Source organism: Homo sapiens, chromosome 21 (genome assembly GCF_000001405.40).
Source record: "Homo sapiens chromosome 21, GRCh38.p14 Primary Assembly".
Lineage (NCBI taxonomy): Eukaryota > Metazoa > Chordata > Mammalia > Primates > Hominidae > Homo > Homo sapiens.
In genome coordinates, this window is record NC_000021.9 from 33,738,882 (window position 1) to 33,757,387 (window position 18,506).

At 39.0% G+C, this 18,506-nt stretch overlaps 1 protein-coding gene across 30 annotated transcripts in view, besides 1 other annotated feature; it reads left to right on the top strand.

The window, feature by feature from the left end:
- Nucleotides 1–18,506, top strand: part of ITSN1 (intersectin 1) — a 257,361-nt gene that overhangs the window by 96,381 nt on the left and 142,474 nt on the right. For 19 of the 30 annotated variants that reach the window (XM_017028428.2, NM_003024.3, XM_017028431.3 and 16 more), the window contains 3 exons: nucleotides 11,262–11,441; nucleotides 12,929–13,025; nucleotides 16,416–16,516. In XM_017028428.2, the coding sequence (XP_016883917.1) occupies nucleotides 11,262–11,441; nucleotides 12,929–13,025; nucleotides 16,416–16,516 (378 nt within the window). The remainder of the gene's footprint in view (nucleotides 1–11,261; nucleotides 11,442–12,928; nucleotides 13,026–16,415; nucleotides 16,517–18,506) is intronic. The other 11 variants (XM_017028429.3, XM_017028435.3, XM_017028430.3 and 8 more) reach the window with 1 other exon arrangement.
- Nucleotides 3,312–3,414: a silencer, noted in NCBI's record as "fragment chr21:35114498-35114600 (GRCh37/hg19 assembly coordinates)". NCBI's record gives its function as "represses an EF-1alpha promoter that drives an FKBP-Casp9 reporter gene in an ReSE screen in phorbol 12-myristate 13-acetate-treated (for megakaryocytic differentiation) K562 erythroleukemia cells {active_cell/tissue: K562(+PMA)}" and the evidence as "EXISTENCE:reporter gene assay evidence [ECO:0000049][PMID:32094911]".

The following is an 18,506-nucleotide window of genomic DNA, read 5'->3' on the forward strand; positions in this document are numbered from 1 at the left end:
ACTCCTAGGCTCAAGCGTTCCTCCTGCTTCAGCCTCCTGTGTAGCTGGGACTACAGGCATGTACCACCACACTGAAGTAATTAAAAAATTTTTTTTATAGATAGAGTCTTGCTCTTTTGCCCAGGCTGGTCTCAAACTCCTAATCTCAAGTAATCCTCCCATTTTGGCTTCCCAAAGTGCTGAGATTACAGCATAAGCCATGGCACCAAGCCTCAGATATTTTTTAATGTAGTTGTTAACACACTATAGAATTAAGGCTCAGACTGGAGTCTGAACAATGATTTTGTTCAACTCCCCTACAGAGAAGAGAGAAAAATGGGGTGCAGTGATACTGTGACTTGCCTTAGAGCACCCTGAAAATAGAATTTTCTATTGTAGGAAATTCTATGGGTAGACTTGGTACCTTCTTTCACCAGTGTGCACTCAGCATAATTCTTTTGTTCTGGACCCAGCTTATACAGGAGGAGTCTGTTTTTCTTTTGCTTGGTTTTTGTTTTGCCAGAGTACATGGTTTTATTGGATTAAACCAGTGTTTTGTAAGCCCCTACTGTGTGTCCTAGTTGCTGGGAACATGCTGGCCAGCAAGACCTCATGGCTTCTACCACTGTGGATCTTATTTTCAAATTGTGGGGAGCAAGGAAATAAATACTTTTAGGTGAGAATAAGTGCAATAAGTTCATTAAAACAGAGTAATAGTAGAGAGACAGAGAGAGAGAAACCAGTAGAACAAGATGGCCAGGGAAGAATTCTTTGAGCAGATGACTTTTGGAACTGATGTAGATGATGAGAGCCATGTGAAGACCTAGGGGAGAGGCCTTCCAGGCTAAAGGAACTGCACTGGCAAAAGTCCTAAGGCAAAAACTAGCTTGGGGTTTGGAAGGTGTGCGAGGGGCGTCGTAGCTGAAGCATGGGGAGACCATAAGGAAAAGCAAGCAAACAACAGATTAAGCAGAAGAGTGACGTGGTTGATAGACTTATCTGTGTTATCTGAAGACTGGAATGTAGGGGACAAGAATGGAATCCTGGAGATCAGTTAGGAGGCTTTTGCCACGGGCAAGAGGCAATGGTGATTTATATCTGGTGGTGATAATCAATGTGGAGGACAGATTAGATTCATTCTAGCCTGTATTTTGGGAAAAAAGTAAAAAGGACTTGTCAGTAGATTGGAAATAAGAAATGAAAAAGGAGTATTAAGGCTTTTCACATGAATAACTAGATGGATGGTATAAGTGTATACTGAGATGGGGATAACAGGAAGAGGAATGGTTTTAAAGGAGAAATTAAGAGTTTTGGTGATTTTGAGAGTCCTAGTAGATTTCCGAGTTGGGATGTTAAGGAGACAGGGATGACTACGTTTGACTGAAGCTCAGAGGAAGGATCGATCAGCTCTGGGGCAGTTTGGATATGGAGAGCATGTCTTAGGGGCAAGCTTAGCTATAAGGAGTACAGTGTAGACCCAAGCCTTGATGTGATGTGACATTTAAAGGTCAGGCAAAAGAGGAGAAGCCAGAAACTGAGGCTGACAAAAGTGAAATGGCAGAAGATTGGTGTCCTGCTACCAAGAAAAAGTGTTTCAAGAAGGAGGGAATGCTCCATTGTTTGAGCTGCTTTTGAGAGATGGAGTAAGAATATGGCAGAACAGTGCTGATTAGATTTGATGTGATGAGCTTTTGAGTGACCTTGACAAGCAGTTTCAGTATAGTGATAGGGACAAAATCCTGATTGGAGGCTTGGAAGAGGGGAGAGAATTTCAAGAATTAAGACTTACACAGGAAGAGGTGATGGCAGCCAGAATACGGCTTCTGGTAGATGTATTTATTTAGAAAGTCATTCATTCAGAAAAGGTAGTCAGTTGTCAAAAGGATGATAGTCTTTTTGCAGTGGCTATTTAAAGCACAGTAGGCCAGGCACGGTGGCTCATGCCTGTAATCGCAGCACTTTGGGAGGCCAAGGCTGGAGGATTGCTTGAGGCTCCTAGTTCAGGACCAGCCTGGGCAACATAGTGAGATCCTATTTATATTTTTTTAATGTAAGTAGATAGATAGATAGATAGCTAATAAATTTTTCCTTTTCTGTAAAATGGAAAAATTATTATGTAAGAGAAGATTTCTAACAAATTTGGAAGCTTAAAAGATGCTTTTACCAGTCTGATGATTAAACAGTATTTTTAAACTTGGCCTTTTCCTCAGTGTCTTTTTGAGGTTAGCCTCCTTTTAGGTTAGGGGTCTGCAGCACAGATGGGGTACGTGTCTTGAAGGTTAACTGGTTGCGCAGTATGCTGTGTCAAGCCTTTTGAAAGTCTGAATGATGGCTCATGAAAACTTTTGGTTTGTTTCCATCTATTTTTATTTGTTGCTTGAGTAGATTGACATTCTTACTTAAGCAAAAACCAGGATTTGGAGTATAATTCAGTATAGTTATCAAAAGAACCAAATTTTTAAAAAGAAAAACACATTAAAAATATAGTTATCAAATAATCTTAGAAAATTTTGGAATTCTAAAACTGACAAGGTAAACCTGATACATGTTGCTATGTGTGGATATGTAAAGTTAATCTGATTCCAAATGAGATGTGTGGTAATGTGCTTGATAGTGTGCACGTGAACTGTAAACCAGTCATCTAGATGACTATAATTATAAACTTACTCAGTAAAGCCCAAGTTAGAATTTTTTTCTTCTCTTTGTTGGATTTTCAGTGTCTATAAACATTGTTTTTAAAAATGAAAATAGGCCGGGCGCAGTGACTCACGCCTGTAATCCCAGCACTTTGGGGGGCCCAGGTGGGCGGATCATGAGGTCAGGAGATCGAGACCATCCTGGCTAACATGATGAAACTCCGTCTCTACTAAAAATACAAAAAAAAATTAACCAAGCATGGTGGCGGGTGTCTGTAGTCCCAGCTGCTCGGGAGGCTGAGGCAGGAGAATGGCGTGAACCCTGGAGGCAGAGCTTGCAGTGAGCTGAGATCGCGTCACTGCACTCCATCCTGGGCGACAGAGCGAGATTCCGTCTCAAAAAAAAAAAAAAAAAAAAAGGAAATAGTCTGATTTTCTTACTGTATAAGTAATAGATGCTGCTTGCGAGTCAACAATGCAAAAAGACTTAAAAAGTAAAAATTACTATTAATTCTGTTACCCAGTGATGACCACTGTGTTCAACAACACTATTTTTAAAATCTTTTTTTTTTTTTTTTGAGGTGGAGTCTTGCTCTGTCCCCCAGGCTGGAGTGCAGTGGCACCTTCTCGGCTCACTGCAACCTCCGCTTCCTGGGTTCAAGCGATTGTCCTGCCTCAGCCTCCCCGGTAGCTGGGATTACAGGCATGTGCCACCACGCCTGGCTAATTTTTGTATTTTTAGTAGAGACGGGGTTTCACCATGTTGGCCAGGCTGGTCTCGAACTTCTGATCTCAAGATCCACCCACCTTGGCCTCCCAAAGTGCTGGGATTACAGGCGTGAGCCACCGCGCCTGGCCCTATTTTTAAAATTTTACACAAGTAATACATGCTCTTAGTAAAAAGAAATACAAACAAAACAGAATTGTGTACATTTGTAACAGTGCAGGAGGAAGAGGGAAGAATTAGGGTACCTGGTGCACTTGAAACAGGAGAACCCCAAAATAGCTAACAGGTATTTGCAAGAAAGTTCAACCAGGCTGAGAGCAGCAATAGAAATAGGAAAGGGTTATGCTCTCTGCAGTACTGAGTGAGTACAAAGGATCTGAGAGATTTGGAGCAGTCCAGCCCCTATGAACTCAAAAGACTGGCCCAACAAGCCTTCCTTTTGGGACAGGGCTTCATACTCAGGAAAAATGACTGGGAGTGGAATCAAAATTGAGCAGTATAGGGACATGGATACAAAGGAAAGAGATGGTCCAGACAAAAGTAGGGGAGGAGAATGGAGACTGGAATTCCTAAGAAGCAAGGCTCACATAAAAATGAGCAACAGAAAGTATCAAGCAAGGTCAAATCCACTGCAGAAAGTGTCAAGCAAGGTCAAATAACACAAAGTTATTATTAGGAAAAAGGAGAATAAAGGGAGAAATAACACCCCTGTGGACAGTGAAAGCACACCAGTAAATCACTACTTCAAAACAAGCTCAAAGAGAATAAGAAAATGATACAAGACTTGAAAGATGAAAATCAGAGTTTTTAAGGCTCATAAATAAGGTGACAGAAAGAATGAGAAATAAAAGAAAAATTCATTCTAGAAATGAGGATGCAACTAGAAGCAACACAGGGGATACTAACTGAAGAAAAATAGAAGTTACAAAGAGGAAAAAAATTTAAATTAAAAGGAAATGAGGCTGGGCGCAGTGGCTCACGCCTGTAATCCCAGCACTTTAAGAGGCCGAGGTGAGCGGATCACCTGAGGTCAGGAGTTCAAGACCAGCCTGGCCAACATGGCAAAACCCCGTCTGTACTAAAATTACAAAAATTAGCTGGGTATGGTGGCACATGCCTTTAATCCCAGCTACTTTGGAGGCTGAGGCATGAGAATCGCTTGAACCCGGGAGGCAGAGGTGGCAGTAAGCTGAGATCACACCACTGCACTCCAGCCTCGGGGATAGAGTGAGACTAGGTCTCCTAAATAAATAAAAGGAAATGGAAAAGATATAAAAAGAATTTGAGAAACAGTAACAAGTATTTAAGACAAAGAAGATTGAATGTATGGGCAGCAGGAGTCCCTGAGGAAGAAAACTAAACCAATGGAATAGAACAAATGATAAAAATGAATTCAAGACAACTTTCTTAAAATAAGAGATTCTAAACTATATTTAAAAGAGTATCATGTGGCCAAGAATATCAATCTAAAAAGTCCAACACTAAGATATATTCTAGTTAAAGGAGAAATTATTTAGACATGTAGAAAAAGAAAGCATATGACTTACAAGGGGGAAAATTAGATTATGTTCAGATTTTTCAACAGCAGTGCTTTCTGCTAGAAGAAAATGGAGTAACATATTTAGAATTCTCAGGGAAAGAACAAGCCAAGGATTTTGTGTCCAGAAAAACTGACTTTCAAGTAGAAAAAACAGACAAAACGTTACCAATTTATAAGGCTTCGGGGTATATTAACATGAGCCTTTCTTAAGGAATCTATTAGAGAATGTGCTTCAGACAATCAAAATAGCTAGACCTAGGTCATCATAAGGACTGATGGTGAGCACTAAATATATAGTTAGCTGTAGAGCTAAGACTGAAGGAAGGCTGAGGAGGAGAGAGTATCGGATGTAATTCCCATGCACTGTCAATTGGATACGATAAAACTTTAAGGGGAGCAGGACTGCATGCAAAAAAATAATTTAATGCATTCAGAAATTAGTATTAGTATTGTTATTCTGAAACTGTTGTCTGAGATATGTGGTAAAAACAAATAAGTAATTACGGAATAGTCTAATTCTGTCATTTTCTATACCTTTGAAATCTGTATTCTTGGTGTGGAAGAAAGGAGATAACAAATATAATAGTATCAAATGTAATGAAAAAGCAGTATAGTCTTGGATTTGAATTTTCAAATTGAAAGTATTAATATGAACTCAGAAGGCGTCTCTCACCACACCCCCCATTCTCTTCATCTATCCATCTATTTGTCTCCTAGTTCTGTTCACTGAAAAGACTAGATACAATCATCTACCCCAGCAGCACTGAGCATCCTTAGCGTCCAGATTGTGAACTTGAAATATCATTTCTCACCAAAAGAAACCAGAGTTTCTTGGAGAAATGGCTGAATCCAGGTCTAGATATGAAATGTGAAGAGCTTGAAGGACCCATCTTGTAATACTGGTCAGCAAGGAAGTTATCAAAGCATAGTAGGAGGATATCAGAAATTCTCAGAAGCCAACCCGAAGAGGCTTACATTGGCCAAAGAGAGGACAGTTTGAACTTCAAGAATGATAATGTGCCATGAATTAAAACTCAATAAATATTTGTAAATTTATGACTCAATAATGATTTAATAATGTATTTAACAAGAATAATTTACCTTAAGAAGATCCTAAGAAACCAGTTCATTACCTTGAAAACAGGTAAAGGGAAAGAATCAGGCATTTATTATGCCTTTTGTATATGAGCTGTACAACTGGATAGCCAACTAGTATATCCTCATTAGAAGCACCTCTTTATAAAATTATTACAGCTAATAAATGACAAAGACATAGTAGGATTAGAACATCACTATTTTCAACTCCCCATAAATGAATAAATATAGGCGTTAAGCATCAATGACTGCCAAGATCACAAAAAGACAGCTACATTTTGTGTGTTTCCTGTAGTCTTGCCAAAGAGATCCACCGTCAGCTTGATCCATTCTTTGGATGTAGCTGCGTATTTGCAGGAAATACAGAATATAGAGGGAAATGTTGAACCGCACCATGAGAATGCAATCAGCAAAATCCAGACTGGGAAACTCCACAGGTCACATGGCCTGGGTCTTTCAACAGAAAAGAAAATGAAAAGGATGGAGAGGGGACTGTGGATTAAAGGAAACCTAAAAGACATTTCAGCAGTGAGATTTCCGACCATGCCTGAGTTGAGATGAGCAAATTCTTCCCTCAAGGGCAGAATTGACAGAATAACCATTTCAGTGCTCTGGAAATTAACCAAAGGTATATAACATCTGAGAATCATTTATGCCTGAAAAGCTGCTGAGCTTCAGATATGAAGCAGAAGTCTGTTGCATTCTTTCCTGGGCATTTTCCTATCCCCCAACACTTCAGCTTGGTAATGTGGAGGGACAGGTTGTAAATATTAGCAGTCTTAACTGCTGTCACTGAAGGGGGCTTACTTGCTTTGGGAGTGGGAAGTCATGCCTGTGCCCAGCAGCTTTGTCAGTGGAAATGACAATTCTGGCCACAGAAGAGCAGGTATGACCAGCCACTCTATTATCCTGAACTCGTGGTCATGGCCAGGGCAAGTATATTCTTGGCTGAGGCTATGCACATGTGTCGCGGAGACCAGGGTGGGCCCGAGTCAGCTGCAAACTCCTGACTAGCCCTCAAACTGCATGCACGTATAGAGAATATGCAGAAAGGCCCTGTGAAATGTTAAAGTTGAGGAAGACTTTAAAATGGTCTGAACTTTGAATGCATTTTTGTGCTGACAGATTGTCAGAGAAAGGAAGCCTTACTGACTTGAGGTGTTTGAGCACAACTTCCGTCCCATCATTGGCTGACTACTGTGCTACAAAGATGCAGGTGCAATCCGTAAAAAGCCAGGCTTAAAGATAAAAACGAATTTTTTAAAAACCCAACTGAGCAGAACCATCAGGGGCTGCACAACAAGGGAAGACAGATTTTTCTGAATTAGCCTATGCCGGTTACTAAATAAAGATAGAAACAACAACCTTCAGGGGGAAAATCAGAGCCAGAGTAGCTACAATGTATTATCTGAATGTCCATTTTCACCTAAATTTGAGACATTAAAAAATAACAGGAAAGTATTGTCTCACCCTCAAGAAAAGAGGCAGTCAGTAGGAACTATCTCTGATCCAGCTGTTGGATTCATTTAGCAGACAAAGGCTTCAAAGCAGCAATTACGTTCAAAGAACTGAAGAACTAAAGGAAAACGTGGAAATGAATCAACAGACAGACACTCTCCAAAAAACAATAGAAATTACAAAAAAGAGGAAAATTGAAATTCTAGAAAAGTATGACAATTGATGTGAAAAGTTCAATAACTGGCCGGCCACAGTGGCTCACACGTGTAATCCCAGCACTTTGGGAGGCCGAGGCCTGTGGATCACCTGAGGTAGAGAGTTCGAGACCCACCTGGCCAACATGATGAAACCCCGTCTCTGCTGAAAATACAAAAAATTAGCTGGACATGATGGCAGGCGCCTATAATCCCAGCTATGTGGGAGGCTGAAGCAGGAGAATCCCTTGAAGCCGGGAGGCAGAGGTTACAGTGAGACGAAATTGCGCCATTATACTCCAGCCTGGGAAACAAGAGTGAAACTCTGTCACAGAAAAAAAAAGGAAAGTTCAATAACTAAGGCTGGGAGCGGTGGCTCACGGCTGTAATCCCAGCTCTTTGGGAGGCTGAGGTGGGCGGATCACCCGAGGTTAGAAGTTGGAGACCAGTCTGGCCAACATGACGAAACCCCGTCTCTACTAAAAATGCAGAAATTAGCTGGGCGTGGTGGCAGATGCCTGTAATCCCAGTTATTGGGGAGTCTGAGGCAGGAGAATAACTTGAACCCGGGAAGTGGAGGCTGCAGTGAGCCAAGACCACGCCACTGCACTCCAGCCTGGGCAACAGAGTGAGGCCTTGTCTCAAAACAAAAACAAAACCTGAAAAGTTCAATAACTAAAATGAAAAATTTACCACAGGGTCTTAATAGCAGATTCAAGATAGCAGAAGACAGAGTCAGTGAAGTTGAAGATTAATCAATAGAAATTATTCAATCTGAAGAATATGGAACAAAAAGATTGAAAAAAAATAACAAAGTTTCAGAGACTTATGGAACAAGACCAAGTTTACCAATATGTGTGTCATGGGAGTCTTAGAAGGAGGATCATGAGAGAAAGGTACAGAAAAATATTTGAAGAATAAAAGCCAAACACTTGCCAAATTTGGTGAAAAGCAATAGTCTACACAATCAAAAGCTCAACACACCTCAAGTAGGGTAAATACAAAGAGATCTACACCCAGACACATCATAGTTAACCTACGGAAGCCAAACACAGAGATAAAACCTTGAAAGCAGCAAGAGAAAAGCAACTCATCATGGATAGGGGAGCATAGATATAAATAACAGCAGACTTGTAATTGAAAACAATGGAGGTTAGAAGGCAGTGGAATATTCAAAATGCCGCAAGAAAAAATTCAACCCAAAATTCTATATTCAGCAAAACTATCATTTAAAAATGAAGGTGAAATAATGACTTTTTCAAATAAACAAAGACTGAGAGAATTCATTGCTACTAGACCTACCTTAGAAGAAATACTAAATGAAGACTTTCAGGATGAAATGAAATGACAAAAGGTGGTAACTTTAATATATGGAAAGAAATGAAGAGCATCAAAAATGGTAAATATGTAGGTTAATTTAGAAGACCACATAAATCTATTTTTCTTCTTTTCTCTCAAGTTTAAAAGATATAAGATTGTATAAAGTAATAATTATAACTCTATTATTGGGCTTATAACATATTATAATGTATGTGACAGTAATAGCACAGAAGAGGAGAAAGGGAATTGAGCTATATTTGTGTAAAGTTTCTATATTCTGCCATTAGAAGTTGATTATGATAAATTAATTTGGAGATTTTAATCCCTACAACAACCACATAGAAAATTACTTTTGGATGCATACAGTGGCTCAGCCCTGTAATCCCAGCACCGTGAGAGGCTTGAGGCCAGGAGTTTGAGACCAGACTGAGTAACATAGCAAGACCCTGTCTCTACAAAAAAATAAAAACTTAGCTGCATTTGGTGGTGCGTGTCTATAGTCCCAGCTACTTGGAGGCTGAGGCAAAAGAATCCCCTGAGCCCAGGAGTTCAAGGTTACAGTGAGCTGTGATCACGTGACTGTACTTCAGCCTGGGTGAGAGTGAGACCTTATCTCTAATAATAAAAGAAAAAAAAGAAAATTTTAATTACTATTATTATGTAATAATACTCTTTTCAGTTAGCTCTCTCAGGTTGAAAAGAAAATTTACTTTTAAAAAATAGTAAAGGTCAGACATGGTGACTCACGCTTGTAATCCCAGCACTTTGAGAGGCTGAGGCAGGACGATCACTTGAGCCCAGAAGTTCGAGACGAGCTCAGGCAACATAGTAAGACCTCATCTCTACCGCCCCACCAAAAAAAAAAATACACGTATATATATATATGAAACTGGGTGTAGGGATGCACACCTGTGGTTCCAGCAAGTTGGGAGGCTGAGCTGGGACGATCGCTTGAGCCCAGAAGGTGAAGGCTACAGTGAGCTATGATCATGCCATTTCACTCTAGCTTGGGCAACAGAGTGAGATCTTGTCTCAAACAAACAAAAATATTTAAAAAAAATCAATAGGGGGCATTTAAACACTAAAATTTATTTACTCCACATGAAAGAAGGTATTAAAGTTGGGACAGAGAAATAAAAAAGAAGGTAAGCTTTTTTACTTTTTTTTTTTTTTTTGAGACAAGGATCTCACTGTATTGCCCAGGCTGGAGTACTGCGGTGTGATTGTGGCTCACTGTAGCCTCAACCTCTTCGGCATAAGTGATCCTCCCACCTCAGCCTTCCATGTAGCTAGGCCTACAGGCGGGTACCACCATGCCTGGCTAATTTTTAAAATTTTTTGTAGAGATGGGATTTTGCTATGTTGCCCTGTCTGGTTTTGGACTCCTGCCCTCAAGAGATCTTCCTGCCTTGGCCTTCCAAAGTAGTGAGTTTACAGGCATAAGCCACTGTGCCCAGCTGGAAACATTTATTTTTGTTTTATCATTTCTTCTTTATTGGTTAGAATATTTTTGTATAAAGATGCTTCCAGGGCCAGGCACAGTGGCTCATGCCTGTAATCCCAGCACTTTGGGAGGCCAAGGCAGGTGGATCACCTGAGGTCAGGAGTTTGAGACCATCCTGGCCAACATGGTGAAACCTCATCTCTACTAAAAATGTAAAAATAGCCGGGCATGGTGGTGGGCACCTGTAATCCCAGCTATTCAGGAGACTGAGGCAGGAGAATCACTTGAACTCGGGAGGTGGAGGTTGCAGTGAGCCAAGATCACGCCACTGCACTCCAGCCTGGGTGACAGAGCGAGACTCCATCTCAAAAAAAAAAAGAAAAGAAAAAAGAAAAGAAAATGAATAAAGATGCTTTCCCCATCAAACATGTGGTTTCCCTGAGGTATAATAAACATAGGAAAGGCAGGTTGCAGTTTGATTTTTCTACCTTTTATTTACTAGTTTTCAAAGTAGTAAATTGATTGCCTTAGTGTCCTCCTTTTTTGACCAGTTAGGATTTTATTTATTTTTAAATATCATTTTGAACTCATGGATTTAATTATATTTGAGCCTTTAAGTCCACTGCAGTTATTATTCTTTTTGATTCTCATCTTGTTTGTTCTGTCTTCAGGTTGAGTCTTGAGTCCTTTTGATGTGATCCTTGACATAATTTTTGTTACTCTTTAAAATGATTAACTTGAAGCCCTATTTTAATTGGAATATATTACAGCTGGAAAGTGATTTTCTTTAAGCAGTACTGGGTTAATTATTATTCAGTGTTGAAATGTGATTGGATGTGAATGGTGTTGAGCTGTTTTTTCTTCATAGGTATGGGAGGTATCGCCAGCATGCCACCGCTTACAGCTGTTGCTCCAGTGCCAATGGGATCCATTCCAGTTGTTGGAATGTCTCCAACCCTAGTATCTTCTGTTCCCACAGCAGCTGTGCCCCCCCTGGCTAACGGGGCTCCCCCTGTTATACAACCTCTGCCTGCATTTGCTCATCCTGGTATGTGACTTGCTGAAACCATAGGCTGAGTTTTTACTACTTGTATTTTGCTGTTCATTATTAAAATATTTTCTCTTCACGTTCTGATTATGTTTAAATGATATTTTAGTCCAGAGGAAAATATCTTTATTTTTTTCACTTGATTTCACATTTTTTCCACTGTATTAAATGGGATATGTTAGTGTGGAGAGAGTCAAAGAGAATTATAGATTTCTGGGTACCACTGTGGACAAAGGTGAGCTCAGCAGTGAAAGCCACAAATGTAATTTTCTTTCAAGGGCTGAGAAGAGCAATTGAAGTTGAACTGTAGTTGAACATTTTCTATTTTTATGTATCAGTTACTACTTTTCTTTAGCCACTATGAATTGCTAATAAGCAAGCCAATCCCCTAGGAATAGAACTATGTTGGGGGTTGTGGGAAAGAATAAAAAAGAACAGTTTATACTATTTTATGGTATTACATGCCTGCTTAATTGAAGGAAAGGATTTAAAAGTTTCTGGTTTAATTAATTCCACTTTGAGACTTTATTAAGTCTTTTTTCCTTTAGTTAAAGTATAAAACTGTAGATGTAGATAGCCTTGGTCTAACATCTTAATGAATTCATATCAATATGGAAAGTATTATTTTTAAAGTACTTTGACTACATCTAAGTAAATTCAGTATTGACGACATGGGTTTTAGCATCATACTTGAAACATTTCTGCGCCTTTGGCCCCCTGAATTTGTTGTATATTTATCAGGATATATATTTAAGTTATGGCCAAATAAGCTAAATGTATCTCCTTTTTTTAGATTTTTTCTTGTCACATGTAGTTCATCTTGCATATATGACCATGACTGTGGACATGATGGTAGCCCAGAAAGTGTGTGCAGTTGTTTTTCCAGGAGCATAAGCAAATCCACACACTCTGAGTCTTCTATTCTTTTGTGACTAATGGCACATGTTGCAAGTCATTTGCCATCAGGCAAGAGTGAGGGAATGTGGCTAAGACGCAGTGTTTTTTTTCTGACACTCAACTAACCAACCCCAGTGATAATCAGACACAAAAGCTGACCTTCCCTAGTGTCACATGTTATCTGGCCAAGACTACAGTTTGTGACTTCTTGGCTCTTACATCTGGAACTAATACTTCAGCTCCTTCAGTGCAGTGAATAAAATACCATTTTATATATTTAAGCTGTTACCTCTTTAACTGTTGGAATAGGTCCTATAAAATGTGATACAAAATGTTTAATGAAGAGTAAAATTTTATGGAAATCAGCATTACTACATAGTAAGGTGATTTTCAGTAGAACAAGTAAATCTAGAAACCTTTTTGGCAGGAGGACAGAGGGTAAGGAGGGAAAAGCTCTTTTCAGTCTAGGCTGGCAAGAAGGGGGAATTATTTCTGCCTCAGATTTGTTGACTGTGCATTTTAATTTTTGTAAATTGGGGAAAGTTTCTTATCTTTGTAGAATTAAAATTATTCAACATTTATTTTTACAGCAGCCACATTGCCAAAGAGTTCTTCCTTTAGTAGATCTGGTCCAGGGTCACAACTAAACACTAAATTACAAAAGGCACAGTCATTTGATGTGGCCAGGTAAGTTTGCTTGTTTTTAAATGGGAAGTTTGGTTAAGGCCATTACCTGATTAAATCATAAATTTGACCATGAATCATCTATATTCTTTTTGTTGTTGTCATCTTTTTTGTAGGCTTTTGTAGAGTGCTAATAATAATTTTCTTAATTTCTGGATAGTGTCACTAGTTTTTATCATTAATTTGTTGCAGAGATGAGAGAAATCAAGGACATAACATTTCCTTAAAGGCTTTGTGTATTTTTTTTTTTTTAAAGAGGATAACAAATGGATAGTAATAAAATGTTTAAAAACAGTAAGATAAAATTCTGGGTATAAGGGAAAAAAGCAAATGAACTATTTTATGTGTTTATGATTTACAAGTTTATGTATAAAATTTTTGTATGAAGATTGGAGTTATAGTTGGCCTTATTTTTAATTCTATCTCAGATAATCTTGTGGAGTTTATATGGGTAATTAGTAAAATCCTATTAAAGACGATTTATTATGAAAAGAATTATCCAGATAGTGGACAATTCACATTAATCAAATGTGTGGCTCAATTTTATTAAAGCTGACATGACATTATTGCTTATGTTTTGGCCAACCTTGGTTTCAATTATTACCTTTCATATTTTTATTTTACTCCTATGTTTTACCCTTGCATACTGCTACATTAAGAAGAGAAATTAAGTCTCTTTTAAGCCATCTCAGAACTTTTGGGCCGGGTGTGGTGGCTCACACCTGTAATCCCAGCACTCTGAGAGGCTGAGGCAGGAGGATCGCTTGAGCTCATGAGTTTGAGACCAGCCTGGGCAACATAGGGAGACCTTGTCGATACAAAAATTTAAAAATGAGATGGGAGGATGGCTGGAGCCAGGGAGATCGAGGCTGCAGTAAGCTGTGATTGTGCCACTGCACTCTTGCCTGGGTGAGCCTGCCTAAAAAAAAAAAAAAAGCTTTTGGAATTTATCCTGTCTTATGTCAATCCTCACTAGAAATTGTTAAGTGAATCAAGTCATTTTCCCACTTTCAAGAGAAAAGCATGTTGAATATAATTCAGTGATGCCTTCATTACCTTTTAAAAATGATTTAAAGAAAATCCATAAACTGAAAAGCACTGTGCCAAAAGCTTTACATTAACTCATTCTTCCCCATGAGATGATTCTGTTACTCTCTGTTATAGATGAGGGACAAGCTCAGAGACATTATGTTACTCGTGCAACAGAACGTAACTCATAAGTGACAGAGCTGAGTCAAACTGAGATGTCTGATTTTAAGGCGTGTGTTCTTAACTATGCAAGTTTTCTCTAAAAAACTTAATTGTAGGATACAGGTATTTATTTGTGTTCCATTTAATTGCGGTTTTACCCTTAAGATGCCTCAATATGTATTGGGCATCTACTTTGCCAGGCACATCATTAATCCTATTCAACCCCATAGCTACCTATGCAGTAGATGTCTCAAGATGGTGCATGAGGAAGCACACCCAGAGAAGCTCTAGTCCTCACCCATAGTTTACAGCTTAGTGCATGGTGGAGCTGAGAGTTAAACCTATATCATCTTACACTAAGTTCCTTTTTAAAAAAAATTCTCCTGGGCTGGGTGCAGTGGCTCACGCCTGTAATCCCAGCACTTTGGTAGGCCAAGGTGGGCAGATCACAAGGTCAGGAGTTCGAGACCAGCCTGGCCAACATGGTGAAACCCCGTCTCTACTAAAAATACAAAAAATTAGCTGGGCGTGGTGGCGGGCACCTGTAATCCCAGCTACTCGGGAGGCTGAGGCAAGAGAATTGCTTGAATCCAGGAGGTGGAGGTTGCAGTGAGCTGAGATCGCGGCATTGCATTCCAGCCTGGGTGACACGGCAAGTCTCTTTCTTAAAAAAAAAAAAAAAAAAAAAAAAAAAATTCTCCTATACCATGCTGAAGTTTTGAGTTTATTATGACTTTGCAGAAGCAATTTTGAAATCTGCTTTATTGATTTGTGACATTAGAATGAACTATCAGTATTAGTGAACATTAGTGCTATTGAAACAACTGTTTTATGTTGTCACCTTTTTAATAACTTAAATTTCTAGCCAATTTTTGCAATGCAGTATTGAACTTTTGGGTACATCTTCATGAGTTTTTAGTCTATTTAAATTCTCAGGAATTTGGCAGAAAACTCTGATGTGATAAGTGTAATCTGGGACAACTTGTGTATGTAACACCCAACATTCCTGGCGTGTAGCAACTAGATAGTTAGCTTCTTGACAAATAGGTGGGAGTTGGAATCAGCAAAATATTAGTTAGTTAACATGAGAGGGTTGGTGCAGAAGTACCCACAGCAGAATAGATCATGGTAAGTGTTTTTTATTAAGAAATTCATAAAAATTGAAAAAGGTGAATTCATATAAGTACTTCTCGAGTGTTTGGGAGGTATTTCCTATACTTGAACTGTATATAATAGATATAAGTGCATAGATAACACATGGAAATGATGATTAAAAAGTTCAGTATTTCAGTAAGATTGTGCTTTTACATGTTTGAATAGATATTTTTGTTGAAGTGAAATTGCAGACAGAGCATTAGCTGTAATCTGTCCTGGAAGGGGAATGCCAGTTTTACTGTCTGAGCTCAGCCATTGGGTTTAATTCAGATGTCGAAGCTTAACAAGCCATTGGTACCAGTGTGATATTTGTGTGGACAGTGGCATCTGAGGAACTAATCACTAAGGAAGTGTAGACGCAGCCTAACTACTGGCAAGTGTGTCCTTGGGCCAGCTCAGGATTGTGGCACATTGGCAAGGAGAGATCAGTATTGGATTGTAGTCGAGAAAGTGAAGCTGTCTCCATTCCCACTCTGCTTATGTGTGACCATGGAAATGTTCTGTTCTCTCTCTCTCTGGGAAACTGTCCAATGGGTCTGAATTTAAACTTACCAGAATGGAGTAATTTCACTTCATTAAGAAATGGGTCCTGTATATTCACGTATAGAAAGTTAAAACATTTTGGAGAATTAGTACCTTTAAAGGCAGTTATTGGTTTGCTTTTAGCATTGCTTTTTAACCAAAAAAGAAGTGTTTTAGAAATTAGAATAGCCTGGACATTATTGTTTTACCTCAGTTACAAGAGGTTTTTCATACTTTTATAGAACCTTTAAATTATTATATATACAACTTGAAACAGCCTCTCAGTCTATTGTGTTTATCCATGATTCTGGAAAAATAATTATCTATTTGAGGGAAATGTTTATGATCTTAAAAATGGGAAATACCCATGGCAAAAAAAATCAGAAGTAGTGATAATAAAATGAATAAAATATGAAAGTTAGAGATGATTATCTAGAGAAGTTCTTAGTTTACTGTCATTAAGGAACTTTACCAGGCTGTTCCTTATGGATAATCCTCTTTCTCTCCTTTTTCTTTTCCCCACAGTGTCCCACCAGTGGCAGAGTGGGCTGTTCCTCAGTCATCAAGACTGAAATACAGGCAATTATTCAATAGTCATGACAAAACTATGAGTGGACACTTAACAGGTATTTACAAATAAAAATTAGTGAAATATGATCTTTGTTTTCAATGTAAACTGTTTCTAGATATTGGGTCATAGATATTTTCCATGTCTGTGTGCTTATTTCTTGGCAGTGTTTCCTTTGTCTCTGTTATCTCATGTTCTTATCCACTGATAACTCTTTACATAGTTATATCATTCTCTCATGCCCCATTGCTTTGTGGTAAAATGGAATATAGACCAGGGATACTCCTGTACGCTGAAAGCCACTGATATGCAAATCAAGGCACTAGCAAAGAAACACTTCTTTGAACAAAAACTAGCTTCAACTTCTGAAGTCCAGCTTTGAACTTGATGAACTTGAAGCTGTCTGTTCACTAGGTTAGAGTTGGAGGCAGCAGGCAGGGTAAAAGCAGGGAGTTGAGAACATGGCTCTGTCTCAGATAACTGCCTAGATAGGGCTCACCACTTTGGATATTTCTTTATCTATTAATATAAAAGGCCAGAGTTAACTTAGGTGATCTCAATGGATTTTTTTAAAAGAAGAATGATTCTGTTATCTACGTCAGAAGGATAGACAGGAATTTTAGCATACTGTTCAAAATTTTTCTCACGAAGGTTTAAATACTTGTTAGAAAGTTATAAAGAAGGCTGGGTGCAGTGGCTCACGCCTGTAATCCCAATCCCAGCCCTTTGGGAGGCTGAGGCGGGTGGATCACCTGAGGTCAGGAGTTCAAGACCAGCCTGGCCAACATGGTCTCTACTAAAAATACAAAAATTAGCCGGGTGTGGTGGTGGGCACCTGTAATCCCAGCTACTGAGGCAGGAGAATTGCTGGAACCTGGGAGGCGGTTGCAGTGAGTCAAGATCATGCCACTGCACTCCATCCTGGGCTGCAGAGTGAGACTCCGTCTCAAAAAAAAAAAAAAAAAAAAGAAAGTTATAAAGAAAAGCATAACTTTAATGAAAGAAAATAGAGACCTCTGATATGAATATTAAATGTTAAAGGGAAAAACTAACTGCCCTCTAACAAATATGAAAGGAAGGGAAAAAAATTAGGTTTCCTGTGTGGTGGAGTGGGGTAAGGGGAGGATTATAATCCAAAACACTTTTAAGAAATGATTCTTACTATTTTTTCCTTGCTATTACTTAAAATTGCAATTTTTACTCCCAAAAGAAAAAAGGTATCTTATGTTTAAAAATGTCAGAGTTGGACGAGATTTTGAAGGGTTCTAATCTAATCTTGAACTCTGGTCCCTTTAAGGATCTCAGCAGTCACCCCAAATAAGCATGTATTTATGTTTGAATGGGTGAATAGTAAATACACACAGATTCTCGATGTGTCATACTGCCTCATAAAGCAGTAGCTGTCAAAACCAGCCTACCTTATGCAGGCTCTGCTTTTTTTTTTGAGATGGAGCTTCACTCTTGTTGCCCAGGCCGGAGTGCAATGGTGTGATCTCAGCTCACTGCAATCTCCACCTCCTGGGTTCAAGTGAGTCTCCTGCCTCAGCCTCCCAAGTAGCTGGGATTACAGGCATGTACCACCACGCCCGGCTAATTTTGTATTTTTAGTAGAAACAGGGTTTCACCATGTTGCTCAGGCTGGTCTCAAACTCCTGACCTCAGGTGATCCACCCACCTCAGCCTCCCAAAGTGCTGGGATTACAGGCATGAGCCACCACACCCGGCCCACTGAAGGTATATTTAATAGCATATTTTTAAGTACTGTTTTACATGGTTTGTTTGACACCAGTGCTCCATACAAACCCAGAACTACATTGCCAATGAATCCAAAAATATTTCTTGAAAACGTTGGTGTTTGCTGTGAGTTGATTAAAATAGTATTCAATTGAGACATTGATTGAGAAATTCTCTCTTTCTTGGTGGGATGTGTGTTTTATGAATGAAATGCAGTATCTACATTCCAAATATAATGACCCAGGCACTTGAGCATTTAGAACTTTTAAATATCTGAGGCAGAAAGTAAAATTTGAAATATACTGGAAAGAAAG